Source organism: Homo sapiens, chromosome 19, assembly GCF_000001405.40.
Source record: "Homo sapiens chromosome 19, GRCh38.p14 Primary Assembly".
In the NCBI taxonomy this organism is placed as follows: domain Eukaryota; kingdom Metazoa; phylum Chordata; class Mammalia; order Primates; family Hominidae; genus Homo; species Homo sapiens.
The window spans coordinates 18449960-18463191 of NC_000019.10; the positions used below are offsets into that span (position 1 = coordinate 18449960).

Here is a 13232-nt window from a genome sequence, read left to right on the forward strand (position 1 = left end):
CAGTCCACAACAGTCGCACGGTGCCTACAGAGGTCCAGGTGCTATCCCTCTCCCACCAGGATCTGCCCATCTGCACCTGTGCTGCCTCTCCCTGAATAGGGCTGGCTTGCCTGGGCCCCCACTGTCTTCCCTGAACCCCAGCAGACCTCAGCATGGCCCTGGCTCCTGGGGCTTCCCTGCAGTCAGAGCTGGGGCCTGGGCCCCATTCCTCTCTGCATGTTAGCCCCTTCTGCGGCCTCAGTTCCCCACAAGGCTCTGGGCCTCCGGCCCCCAGTGCTGGCCTGGCACATTGACTGCAAGTGGCACCGGGCACTCCAGACAGGCAGGGAGAGGACCAGGTGCAGGAACATAGGGTGCCAGGTGCCAGGCACACAGGGCAAATCTGATGGGGCCTGGGGCAACAGGGTCCCCTCCCCTGGCTTCTACAGCTTGAGCCCCCTCGACACCCCATGAGGGTGAGGCGGGTGTGGGGCCAGTACTTAGAGCCCCGGCAACGCCCTCCTGCCTGGGCACCTACCTGGGGTGTCTGCTGGGGCTCCGGGGGTGGCATGGGTGGCAGGTGCACAGTCTGGAAGCTGGGCCCGGGGCTTGTCCTCAGCCGCCCTCTCCTTGTCTTTGTGCTTCTTGGACTTCTTCTTGGGCTTGCTGCGCGAGGGGCTGCCGTGTGGCCTGCTGGGCTGGGCACAGTCCGTCAGCAGGGGCAGGCCGAGGCGCACAGTGGGGGCTGGGGCAGCCGCCTCTCCGTGCTCACAGTCTCGGCCGCTGTGGCCCAGGTCATTGCTGACATCGGCCAGGGGGTCGTGGGCCCTCGGGGGCTCCAGCCGCGGGGGCAGGTGAGTGCTGGAGCTGAGGGTGTCCGTGCTGGCTGGTGGGCCCGGGGTGGGCAGCAAGGCCTCACGGCCATTGGGCACGCCCAGCTTCCCGTTGACGGCAGGCTGAGCTCTCTGAGTGAAGTGCGATATCCGGGGTTTCTTGTTGGCTAGGGGGTCGATGAAATCAGGAGGCTGCAGCCGCTTCTGGAGAGGAGCAGAGATCATTTTAGAGGGGAGCACAGAGTGGCTGAGCAGCAACAGGCAATCCCCTGGCCTGGCTAGAAAACCCAACGCCGCCTGCAAGGCCCACGCTGGCCACATGGGGGCGCCCGAGCACCAAGTCAGGTCCCAGGTGCCGCTCAGGGTGGCCTCAGCTGGGGCCCATCAGCCTGCTGGGATCGATGCAGGGGGAGGGCAGGGCCCAGTGTGTGAGCGGGCCACCCCTGGGGACTGGTCTAAAGCGCTGCTGTGCTCAGCATGCTTCCCCAGTGATAACTGTGACACAGGAGCAGGAAGCCCAGGGTTGAGCCCACATCAGGGAGCCGCCCCCCGTCCCAGGTTCCGCACTGTGACACTGGGGTGCTGCGGCCACACTGGCAGGAATCTGCCCCCAACCCCAACCCGACAGCTTCCCCCTTGGTCCCTGGGCGGAGGGAGGCGGCTCAACTTGGAGCAGCTCATGCTCCAAAGAGCTGGTGAGGAAGGTGACAAGGGTTACTGATGCAGCACAGAGTGCCCTGCAGGTGCTTGGGACAGTCACCCCAGGCATGCCTCACTTACCTGTGGGGGCGAGGCCGAGCGCCCACGCTCGCCTGGGGGGCTGGAGGCAGCAGGGTCTCCAAGGAGGCTGCCAGTGCTCTGTGGCTGGCACAGCTTCCTGCGAAGGAGAGGCAGGGCTAGGTCAGAAGGTGCTGAGGGGGCCTAGGGGCCCCAGGCCTGTATCCACATGGGGGCCCGGTGGAGATGCCTCAAGGAAGGGACCCCCCTCCTCCCAAATCCAGAGCAGGGCCAAGGGGTCACAGGAGCCTGGGCCTGAGGCCATCCTGCCCCCGACTTCACCCAAAGGAGGACTTCCCCACTCACTGTCCCCCTGAGCCCAGAGGAGGATCACTTTGTGTAGGTGCCTGCTACCGGAGAGACCAGGGACACACGCTAGGGTGCTGGACCCTGCTTTTAAAGACAGCTGTTCATCCTGTTCAGAACGCTCACTGCAGAAACTGTCCAAAATGCAGAAGAGAACGGAGGGCCCTGGCCTAGGATGAGACAGCCTTCCTGGAAGCCCAGGTCACAGCAGGATCTGGAGGGCGGCAGAGTGGCCACCAGCTTGACTAGGTGATGCAGCTGGGGAAGAAGGGAAGAAACACCCCAGTGCATGCCCCTTCTCCCGCTCCATGTGATCTGGGCAAGTGGAATCCCCCACCCCCGCCAGCAACCCTGCAGCTTATGGGTATCCTCTCTGACCCAACTGTTCAATTCCCGGGGGCTGTGCCATCTCAGGGCAGCCTAGCGCCCCTCCAGGCCCTGCAGAGAGACTTAAGTCCAGGGCCGTGGCCATTCTGCCAGCCAGTGACACCCAGAGCCCATCTCCCTAACAAATGGGCTAGGCTACAGACCACTGCAGGTGTCACTTCCCTGGTGGCCTGAGAGGAGAGCCATGTGGACATAAACAGAACTCCCAGTTAAAGACAGAAAACTGAGAACAGGCATTTGCATCCACTGGACAGGCAAGGCAGAGACAAAAGGAGGAGTGAAGACACCGGAAAGCATAGCAGAAGCATGAGTGGTGACTGCTGCAGGATCCAGAGAATCCAGGGCCCAGAGCAAGAGGCACCACGACCTCAGGGGACAACAGACTGCTGCAGGGCCATCCCCCACAGCTCTACTCCAGATCCTCATCACTGCTGGTGGGGCTGCAGGACAGTGAGCCCAGGGCTGTCAGGCAGCAAAGAGGCTCGGGCCACTCCTCCAGGCAGTTGGGAAGTTACCTGGGCCACAGCTGGACAACAGGATGGCCAGATGTGTGGCCTCAGGAGAAGAAGAAACAGGGCCCAGGACTAGGGCACATCGGGATTCAGAGGCCCCAAGCTGTGCAGTGTCCCCAACGGCTGCACTGCAGCTTCCAGGCAACAAACGTCAGACCTCAAAACAGAGGAACACGAAAATACATTTGAAAAGAGACTCCACAGGGAGATGAAAACGTTAAAAAATAAATCAACAGGCCGGGCGCCCATGGCTCACGCCTGTAATCCCAGCACTTTGGGAGGCCAAGGCAGGCGGATCACCTAAGGTCAGGAGTTCGGGACCAGTCTGGCCAACATGGTGAAACCCCGTCTCTCCTAAACGTACAAAAAAATTAGCCGGGCATGGTGGTGGGCACCTGTAACCTCAATTACTTGGGAGGCTGAAGCAGGAGAATCACTTGAACCCGGGAGGCGGAGGTTGCAGTGAGCAGAGATCATGCCATTGCACTCCAGTCTGGGCAACAAGACCGAGACTCCGTCTCAAAAACATAAAATAAATAAATAAAAAATGCCAGTTTTCGTGTCCTTGGAAAAACAAAAGCTCTGAATAGACGTTTCTTCAAAGAAGCTATACAAATGGCTAAAAGCACATAACAAGATGCTCAATGCCATGTGTCATCAGGGAAATGCAAATCAAAACAACGAGACACTGGCTACTCTGGGCACACTGCCTATGGGTTAGCCCTGCCCTGCAAGGAGCAATAATGAACAAACAAACCCACCAAACAAAAAACAAACAACGAGATACCACTTCACACACACCCAGGGATGACTGGAATAAAAAAAACAGAAAATAGGTTGGGCGCAGTGGCTCACGCCTCTAATCCCAGTCACAGCTCACTGCAGCCTGGATCTCCTGTGCTCAAGTGATCCTCCCACCTCAGCCTCTAGGGTAGCTGGGATCACAAGAGCACAACACCATGCCTGGCTAATTTTTTCATTTTTTGTAGAGATGAGGGTCTCACTATGTTGCCCAGGCTTGTCTAGAACTTGAGCCCAGGCTTGGGCTCAAGCAATCCTCCCACCTAAGCCTCCCAAAGTGCTGACATTATAGGCATGAGCCACCACGCCCGGTCCTGATTCAACATTCCTCACAGCTACAAGTTTCCACAGATTACATGTCAGCCACACAGCGTATAATTCCATTGATCTGAAATGTCCACAACAGGCAAATCAATAGAGACAGAAAGCAGATTAGTAGTTACCAGGGGCTGGGAGCATGGGAGGGAATGGGGAGAATGACTCCTGATGGGGATAGGGTTTCCTTTTGGGGAAATGAAAATTTTCTGGAACTAGACAGAGGTGGTGGCTGCACAATATTATGAACGTACAAAATGTTACTGAGCTGCTCACTTTAAATGGATGACTTGTGTTACATGAACTGTATCTGAATAAAGCTGTTATTCTTTAAAAAACATCCTTAGAGGCCGGGCCCGATGGCTCACGCCTGTAATCCCAGCACTTTGGGAGGCCGAGGCAGGTGGATCACGAGGTCAGGAGATCGAGACCATCCTGGCTAACACGGTGAAACCTCATCTCTACTAAAAATACAAAAAATTAGCCGGGCATGGTGGCGGGCGCCTGTAGTCCCAGCTACTCGCGAGGCTGAGGCAGGAGAATGGTGTCAACCCAGGAGGCGGAGCTAGCAGTGAGCCGAGATCGCGCCACTGCACTCCAGCCTGGGTGACGAGCAAGACTCCGTCTCAAAATAAATAAAGAAATAAATAAAATAAACATCCTTAGAGTAGGTTAAAAATGACATCCTGGGCTGGGCATAATGGCTCATGCCTGTAATCCCAGTACTTTGGGAGGCTGAGATGGGCAGATTACCTGAGGTTGGGAGTTCCCGACCAGCCTGGCCTGCATGGTGAAACCCTGTCTCTACTTAAAAATACAAAATTAGCCGGTCGTGGTGGCAGGCGCCTGTAATCCCAGCTACTCGGGAAGCTGAGGTAGGCGAATCACTTGAACCTGGGAGGCAGATGTTGCAGTGAGCAGAGATTGCGCCACTGCACTCCAGCCTGGGCAACAGAGTGAGACTCAGTCTCAAAAAAAAAAAAAAAAAAGGCATCCTGGCTGGGCACGGTGGCTCACACCTGTAAACCCAGCACTTTGGAAGGCTGAGGCCCTTGAGGTCAGGAGTTTGAGACAAGCCTGGCCAACATGGTGAAACCCCAGATCTACTAAAAATACAAAAAATTAGCCGGGCATGGTGGTGCATGCCTGTAATCCCAGCTACTCAGGAGGCTGAGGCAGGAGAATTGCTTGAACCGGGGAGGCAGAGGTTGCAGTGAGCCAAGATTGCGCCACTGCACTCCAGGTTGGGCGATAGGGTGAGAGTCCCTCTCCAAAAAAAAAAAAAAAGAAAGAAAGAAAGAAAAAGACATCCTTTCCATTAAATAAGAACATGATGAGTTAGGCCAGGCACAGTGGATCACGCCTGTAATCCCAGCACTTTGGGAGGCCGAGGCGGGTGGATCATGAGGTCAGGAGTTCCAGACCAGCCTGGCCAAGATGGTGAAACCCCATCTCTACTAAAAATACAAAAATTAGCCAGGCGTGGTGGCGGGCACCTGTAATCCCAGCTACTCGGGAAGCTGAGGCACAGAATTGCTTGAACCCAGGAGGCGGAGGTTGCAGTGAGCCGAGATCATGCCACTGCACTCCAGCCTGCGTGACAGAGCAAGACTCTGTCTCAGGAAAAAAAAAAAAAAAAGAACATGCTCCTACGAAAACGCAATGGGGAAGACTCTTAGAAACTAGAAATAATAGGCCTTGCATGGTGGCTCACATGTGTAATCCCAGTGCTTTGGGTGGCTGAGGCAGGCAGATCACTTGAGGTCAGGAGTTCAAGACCAGTCTGGAGAACATGGTGAAACCCCATCTCTTTGCCTAGGCAACAGAGCAACACTCTGTCTCAAGAAAAAAAAAGAAACTACAAATAATAGTAAATTAAGAGACAGGATGAGAAATGTCAAAGAAGTCTCCTAAAAGGAGAATAAAAAAGAGCAAGAGATGAAAACCAGCTGGGCGCGGTGGCTCACGCCTGTAATCCCAGCACTTTGGGAGGCTGAGGTGGGCGGATCACCTGAGATCCGGAGTTTGAGACCAGCCTGACCAACATGGAGAAACCCCATCTCTACTAAAAATACAAAATTAGCCGGGCATGGTGCGCATGCCTGTAATCCCAGCTACTCTGGATGCTGAGGCAGGAGAATGGCTTGAACCCAGGAGACGGACGTTGCTGTGAGCCGAGATCGCGCCATTGCACTCCAGCCTGGGCAACAAGAGCAAAACTCCATCACAAAAAAAAAAAAAAGAGATGAAAACCAGGAAGAGGAGGACAGACTCTAGCAGCCTGCCAAGAGCAGTTTGAGGTGGTGTGCAGTAGGATAGGCCTTTCCACTACCACACACAGGACAGAAGGACGGATAGACGGATAAGGCAAGTTTTCAGCCTGCGGGGGCCGTGGTGCCCACCATCCCAGAGTAGGTACCTGGCCAGCCCCTGGCTCTGTGGACCAGCACAGGGTTGGGGTGGGAAGCCTCTGACCTTCAACGTGGAGGGAAAGCATCTTGGACTCTACAAGTCTAGATGTGATCAACCGCCGGCTCAGCAGGACCATCGTCTGGGCATGAAGATGTGGCCAGCAGTCCTCCTGGAGCCCTGTCCTCAGAGAGGTGCTCCAGGAGCTGTGCTCCCTTGGCACCAGGGAGGAGCAGGAAGGAGGAGTATATAGACTCTGGCATGGGGCTCACAGGAGAGGGGAGTGGCTCAGGTTGGAGGTAAGGGCACCAGGCAGTGTGTGGCTTGGGCAGAGGAATCAGGAACTCTTGGGGGGACCTGCAGGACCCCTGACCCATGGACAGTGATGAGAGGAGATTTGGATACCAGGGACAGATCGGGTTTGGACATCATGAACAAAGAGAACATGAGTGGAGAAACCACCCCCCAAAGCCACATGTGGTGCCAGCTCAGCTGGGGAGGCTCCTGCAGTGACTTGGGCCCCCACATCCCATCTGTCTCACGGCCTGCACTAGGCTAACGGCCTGCACTGGGCTAGCCCAGCTGGTAACAAATACTCCAAGGCCCTGCTTTGATATACACGAAGCCATGGTGTCAAAAACTGCTATAAATGGGGCTTTCTTAGGGATGGGGTGCTAAATAGGAAAAAAAAAAAAAAACAGCTATGCAGAGGGGCACCGCAGGTCACCTTCTATGTGGTTATGGCCCAGGGACATCAACCCTGCCCCCTGCACGCTAGTGGAAGCTTGTGAAGGCAGTGCTGATCCCCATGCCGGCCCAGAGTGAAAGCAGAGTGCCAAGGGGCTGGCATGAGCCCAGCAAGCTCACTCAGCAGACGGAACATGAGCCTTGAATCAGGGGAGCTGGAGGCGGCTCTGGAGCCTGCATCCCGGGGAAGCTCCCCGACGCCCCAGAGGTGCAGCCCAGCCTTCTCCACCTCACTCCACTAGCTCTGGGCAGTTCTCCTTCCAGTGCCCTAAGGGTCTGAGGAACCCAGGGGGCCAAGGGAGAGGACACAGGGTATGAGGATGGGGGCGGGTCTTCTGCCAAGACTGTGCCCTCCGCCAGCCTGCCGCCAAGCCAGGGCAGTGCCCCGCAGGCCCCTGACCTGCACACCCAGGGTGGACAGGCAGGCACTACCCTCTCAGGGGAGCAGAGTGGACCCCCAACTTCATTCTGCTTTCCAGAGGCAATTACTGCTTTAAACAGCTGAACTTCCAAAAAACAACTACAAACTCATAAATACCTCCGAGTCCCTGAGAAATCACTTACGGACTAATTAGCAGATTGACCTGCTTCACAGCCCGAGCTCCCCTAGCTGGCAGCAGTGGAGAAGGAAGTCATTAGCCGCCTGCCTCCTTAACCACTGCTCCCCTGAGCTGCTGCCACTTCTGACCCTGGGTCCCAATTAGCCTGAGGGGATGCATTTAATTAACGCTGCTTAATGACGCCTGCCCTGCCGGGAGTGTCGTTTGGCCTTATTTCTCTCTACTTCAGGTTCTTGAGAGGCTCTTTTCAAAAAGTCAGTGAACTTCCCAGGCCCTGTGGGGATGCCCAGGTTGTGGAGGGAAGCATGAAGGGAAGTTGGGGACAGCTGAGGAGGGTCTCAGCAGACTGAGGCCTTTTGTCTGAAGATTCCAAGGTCGGGGCCAGTGACTCACACCTCCGTCCCACTCTGTGAGCGTGGCCTTCCCCCACCACGGGACACCCTGGGGCACCACGTGGGCAGTAGGGAGGATGGCCAGAGAGGCCTACTTGGACCCTTCCATCCTGCTCCCAAGCCCTGTGGCCTTCAGGACCACACAAGACCACCCCAGCATCCTCTGGGTAAGCTCTGGCTGCCTTCATGCGGGTGGGGACATGCTGGGGGATGGGAGGCGGCATTACCGGACGAGCACCCGCTTCAGCAGCTGCTGGTCCCCCTCCGAGTAGCCAGGCCAGTCCTTCTGCACATCCTTGTACATGCAGTCCTGCAGTGTACACGTGCCGTCCTTAGCACTCATGTTGGCCACCTGCAAGACAGAGCCAGCCATCACTTTGTGGGAATCCTGAGAGAGACGGGGGACTAGAGAAAAAAGATCTGATAGTGGGTTTGGGAGGGTGTGCAGAGACAGTGGGAGACAGACAGAGACAGAGGAGAGGAAAGAGGATGGCCCACTACCGATCCGTGATGTCTCCCACCCCCAGTTCCCCCGCACACAATCCTCAGGGTGCAGAAGGGATAATGAGGGTCATGAAGGCAGGTCCAGACTCAACTGTCTTAGAGGTGCTGGGGCCAGGCTGGCTCCAAAAAGGGGAGGGCTACCACCTGCAGTACTGAGACCCCATCACCTGCCCCCTGGCCCCTCTAGCCTGCTTTTTTTCCTTTTTTGATACAAGATCTTAGCTCACTATAGCCTAGACCTCCTGTGCTCAAGCGACCCTCCCACGTCAGCCTCCCAGGTAGGTGGGGCCACAGGTGTGCACCACTATACTCCAGCTAATTTTTTTTAAGAGATGGGATCTCGCTATGTTGTCCAGGCTTGTCTTGAACCCCTGGGCTCAAGCGATCCTCTGATCTCAGCCTCCCAATGTGCTGGGATTCCAGCCACCACACCTGGCTCCTATTTCTTCCAGGCTGGAGTGCAGTGGTGTGATCAAGGTTCACTGTAGCTGCAAACTCCTGGGCTCAAGCGATCCTCTTGCCTCAGTCTCCCAAGTAGGTGGGCTATAAGCATGCACTATCATACCCAGCTAATTTTTTGTATAGATAGGATCTCAGTATTTTGCATAGGCTGGTCTCGAGCTCCTGGCCTCAAGGATCCTCCCACCTCAGCCTCCCAAAGTGCTGGAAACAGGCGTGAGCCACCGCGCTGGGCTCCACCCCATTTCTGATCACAACTCCCAGGGAAGAGTCAGCCACGGCTGGGGATGCTGGGTGAGGGGTACCTCTGGGGCCACGTCTGAGCCCACCTTCCCTACAACCAGCCTGCCTTGCTGTTGCCGGTTGACCAAAGCTAAGTTCGTCTCCCAGACTGCTAACAAAGATGGATTCAGAACGTCTGCCTTAGAGGGATCTGAGGAAGCTCCAGGTCACTGCCCTGAGTGGGTGCTGCGTGCTGGCCTACAGGGCACTCTGGTCTCCATCTTGCTGCAGGCATAGCAGTCACTGTTTTCTGCTGCATCTGACATGGCTCTGCGTCACAGCGTATCCCATGGGGAGCATTTTTTTTTTTTTTTTGAGATGGAGTCTCGCTCAGTTGCCCAGGCTAGAGTGCAATGGCGCTATCTTGGCTCACTGCAAGCTCCGCCTCCCGGGTTCACGCCATTCTCCAGCCTCAGCCTCTGGAGTAGCTGGGACTACAGGCACCCGCCACCACGCCCGGCTAATTTTTTTGTGTGTGTATTTTTAGTAGAGATGGGGTTTCACCATGTTAGCCAGGATGGTCTCGATCTCCTGACCTCGTAATCCACTTGCCTCGGCCTCCCAAAGTGCTGGGATTACAGGCGTGAGCCACCGCGCCCGGCCCATGGGGAGCATTTTTAACAGTTGAGTAATATCCCACCCCCAAACTGCTGCCAGTTTCTCTGTAGCATAAACAGACATTACTGTGTGCAGTTTTTTTCAGGTTGGCAACAGTTTCCTTCGACGGGATTCCCAGAAGCCAGATTAGTAGGTCAAAGGCTGAATATTTTTATGGCTCATGACAGGCTTTGCTAAATATTACTCAGCCGTCAACACCCCTCCCCTTGAAGGATAGGCTTGCGGGTTTCCCTGGGGCTCAGCCAGTCCTAGAGGTGGACACCTTCCATCTCTGCTCTAGATTTTTCCACAGAGGGAGGGCCAAGCACCTTTGAGGCATGCAGTTTTGTCACTGCCATTCCTCAGCATGTCTGAGGGCCTGTGAGGGGCTGGAAATGACCAGTCTGGGTGAGGCACATCCCCCTCCTCTTCTACAAGCCAACAGTGTCCTGCTGACCCCCACAGCTGCTTGGGGGGAAGCAGCTGCATAATGAATATAGAAGCAAGAAGCAGACGAGCTGTCCAGGGGAAGTCACAGTGGCACAGGAAGGGACAATCTGCCTGCAGATGCTGGCCAGGCCTGCTCCCAGGAGGCACTGAACCAAAGTCACCTGGAGAAGCCAGGCACCAGCACAGACACCTCCTGGCCAGGCCAATGCAGGTCCCACATCTGATGACTCCATCGAGCTCCCTTCAGCAACTCCTGCTGGCACCATGCCAGCCCTAGCCTTGGGAGCAGGATGGGGGTGGACGAGGGCCAGGCTGACATCCTCCCAAGGAATGTGGAACAGGGTCCCACCAGCCGCGCACCCGAGAGGGACGCCTATGAGGAGCTCCGTAAACATGGAAGAACGTCCTTTATACAGCTGCTATCCCGGCATGCCACAGCATGTGCTTTTTGCTGCAGGCATCACCTGTGTTCCTGAGGTGCTGGATGTGACCCCGAACATCCCACTTCCATCATCCTAAAAGGTGCAAGAGGCTCAGCCATGTCTCTTCCTCCACCACAGCAGCGATCCGAGGAGACCCATCCTCAGTTCACCTCAAGGCTGCATCTGCATAGCCTGGCTAATGTTCTGAAGCCAGTGCGAGTCACTCCCCTTCCCAGGGACCCCAGGAAGCCAAGGTGGAGCCTCAGGAACCTCCATGGGTGAGGGGGGTGGAAGGCAGTCAGGGCCATCGCACCTGCTCCAATGCCCGGGGTGTTTCTCAAGAGCAGGCTCCACTCGCCAGCACCACATTCCAGATGGCCTAGCCTCCAACCCCAGGGAGGGGCACTGCAGGTCACAGATGGAAGCCTGATGGTCTGAGACGTGAAGCCCCTCACCCGGAGGCGCAGGTGGAGGGCGGCAGGCAGCTGATTCACACTGAGGCCTGCCAGGCTCTGCCAGGCACGTGTAGATTCCTTCCCCAGGCCTTGAGTCCACAAATCGTCTGCAACTGAAGCCTGAATCCACTGTGCCAGGCCCCACGGCCCGTGTGTCAGCAGACAGTGAAGGAGGGCCTGGGCTCCATGCTGAGTCCACCTCTCAACCCTGGACAGTCGGGGCCATGCCCAGAAACGCATCCATGGCCCCCTAAGCTTGTTCTAATCCAGGAGGCCCTGGCTCTCAGGCAGGTTCTGAACCTGTGAGAGACCCCAGGAAGGGCTCTTCCTTGCCAGTCCCAATCCCAGTCTCCATGCTCTGGCCCATCCCACCCGCACAAGACCATCTGCGGAGACCACTGGTAAAGACAAGACATCGGGGCGGCACCCACCTGCTGGAGGAGGCCATCCAGCGCGTCCTTGTCCGCCTGCGTCAGGCCGTCCTTCTGCAGTCGCAGCAGCAGCTCAGCCTTGCGGTAGGGCCGTAGTGCCAGGAGGTGCAGCACTCGGTCACGGAAGGGCCTCTGGGACACCCCGCTGCCCCCACTCACGGCACTGGCACCACTCTTCCTGATGGCACTCGCCAAGTTGATGGGGGTTGCCCGCTTCCGGGAGGGCACCGCGTCTGTTGCACCTGGGGCTGGTTTCCGAAACTGAACCTTCTTGCCTGCAACAAGAATCCAAGCTTTAGGGAACAGAGAGGGCGCTGCCGTGTCCTAAGCCAGTGCTGCTGACCAGGTGCCCAGAGGTTTGAGACTATAGACAGTGCTGGTGGGAGGCACCACACCAACCACAGCAAAAGCCAGCTTGCTCCTTGGGGACCCTGGGCGACCAAGAGCGCCACCTGCTGCCCAAGGCAGGCACCTGCAGGGCACCCAGCCTCAGAAGTGGGAGGTGCAGGCGGCAGAACTGTGTTAGAGCCTTACTTACTTCATCACAGGCAACCTAAATCCTGGACAGCAAAATCACCTGATCACTCTCACTCTGGTGGGCAGTGTGTGTGTGTGTGTGTGTGTGTGTGTGTGTGTGTGTGTGTATGTAATCACCTGATCACTCTGGTGGGCAGTATGTGTGTGTGAGAAATCACCTGATCACTCTGGTGGGCAATGTGTGTGTGCGTGTATGAAATCACCTGATCACTCTAGTGGGCTGTGTGTGTGTGTGTGTGTGTGTGTGTGTTTGGGCGGGGGGCGGGGGGGGAAGGATTGTTTTGTTTTTTGAGACAGGATCCTGCTCTGTCACCCAGGCTGGAGTGTAATACAATCATGGCTCATTGCAGCCCCAAACTTCTGGGCTCAAGCGATCCTCCCACCTCAGCCTCTGGAGTAGCTGGGACCACAGGTGTGCACCACCATGCCTGGCTAATTTATATTATTTGTAGAGATGGGGTCTCACTATGCTGCCCAGACTGGTCTCAAACTCATGGGCCCAAAGGACCCTCCCACCTCAGCTTTCCAAAGTGCTGGTATTATAAACCAGAGCCATCCTGCCCAACCTGAGGCAGGGGCTGTTTGTAAACCCTTCTGATGTTAAACTGGGGGTCCCTGAACTGCAAGAGGCAGTCACTCCCAAGCCTGCACTTCAGAGTCCTATGCTGGCCCCATGTGGCTGCCATTTTTGTTTTTCTAAAGTCAGTAAAGATGTCGGAGCCACTTTCAGCAGCTGCTCTGAAGACCCTGAGGTGCAAGTGGCACCCCAGCCTTAGGCCTGGTCAAGCTCTCCTCTGGCAGGCGTGGCTGTGCCCAGAGCCCTGGGGAGAGCAGGTTCCCCTCTATCCCCAACGCAGAGACGTGGGCAGGGTCCAGCACGCTGCTCCCCTGCTCTGTCCTGAACAATGATGCCCCGGCATCCTTGGGAACAGGGTCGGCCGAGCAAGCTCAACAGTGCCTCAAATCCTTCCCCCAAAAGCTCTTCGTAACAACATCACTCTGATCTTATCTCTCAAAATCTGATCTGTCAAATTAACCCAGAAAGCCTTGCTTTCAGAATACCCAGGGCCAGTGCTC

General features: G+C 56.4%; 1 protein-coding gene across 5 annotated transcripts in view, besides 4 other annotated features; it reads right to left on the reverse strand.

Moving 5' to 3' along the window:
* The window catches only part of ELL (elongation factor for RNA polymerase II), a 79408-nt gene that overhangs the window by 7297 nt on the left and 58879 nt on the right, over window positions 1-13232 (reverse strand). For 3 of the 5 annotated variants that reach the window (NM_006532.4, XM_017027335.2, XM_047439479.1), the window contains 4 exons: window positions 11619-11893; window positions 8246-8370; window positions 1593-1689; window positions 518-1016 (listed from right to left, as the gene is read on the reverse strand). In NM_006532.4, coding sequence (NP_006523.1) covers window positions 518-1016; window positions 1593-1689; window positions 8246-8370; window positions 11619-11893 — 996 coding nt within the window. Of the gene's footprint in view, window positions 1-517; window positions 1017-1592; window positions 1690-8245; window positions 8371-11045; window positions 11327-11618; window positions 11894-13232 lie in introns of those variants that run through there. The other 2 variants (XM_017027336.2, XM_017027337.3) reach the window with 2 other exon arrangements.
* Window positions 237-1043: an enhancer, noted in NCBI's record as "H3K4me1 hESC enhancer chr19:18561006-18561812 (GRCh37/hg19 assembly coordinates)". NCBI's record gives its function as "activates a minimal SCP1, AML or CMV promoter by ChIP-STARR-seq in naive H9 embryonic stem cells {active_cell/tissue: H9 hESC(naive)}" and the evidence as "EXISTENCE:reporter gene assay evidence [ECO:0000049][PMID:30033119]".
* Window positions 1044-1850: an enhancer, noted in NCBI's record as "H3K4me1 hESC enhancer chr19:18561813-18562619 (GRCh37/hg19 assembly coordinates)". NCBI's record gives its function as "activates a minimal SCP1, AML or CMV promoter by ChIP-STARR-seq in naive H9 embryonic stem cells {active_cell/tissue: H9 hESC(naive)}" and the evidence as "EXISTENCE:reporter gene assay evidence [ECO:0000049][PMID:30033119]".
* Window positions 5590-5806: a silencer, noted in NCBI's record as "fragment chr19:18566359-18566575 (GRCh37/hg19 assembly coordinates)". NCBI's record gives its function as "represses an EF-1alpha promoter that drives an FKBP-Casp9 reporter gene in an ReSE screen in phorbol 12-myristate 13-acetate-treated (for megakaryocytic differentiation) K562 erythroleukemia cells {active_cell/tissue: K562(+PMA)}" and the evidence as "EXISTENCE:reporter gene assay evidence [ECO:0000049][PMID:32094911]".
* Window positions 12125-12184: an enhancer, noted in NCBI's record as "active region_14321". NCBI's record gives its function as "activates an Ori minimal core promoter by ATAC-STARR-seq in GM12878 lymphoblastoid cells {active_cell/tissue: GM12878}" and the evidence as "EXISTENCE:reporter gene assay evidence [ECO:0000049][PMID:35858748]".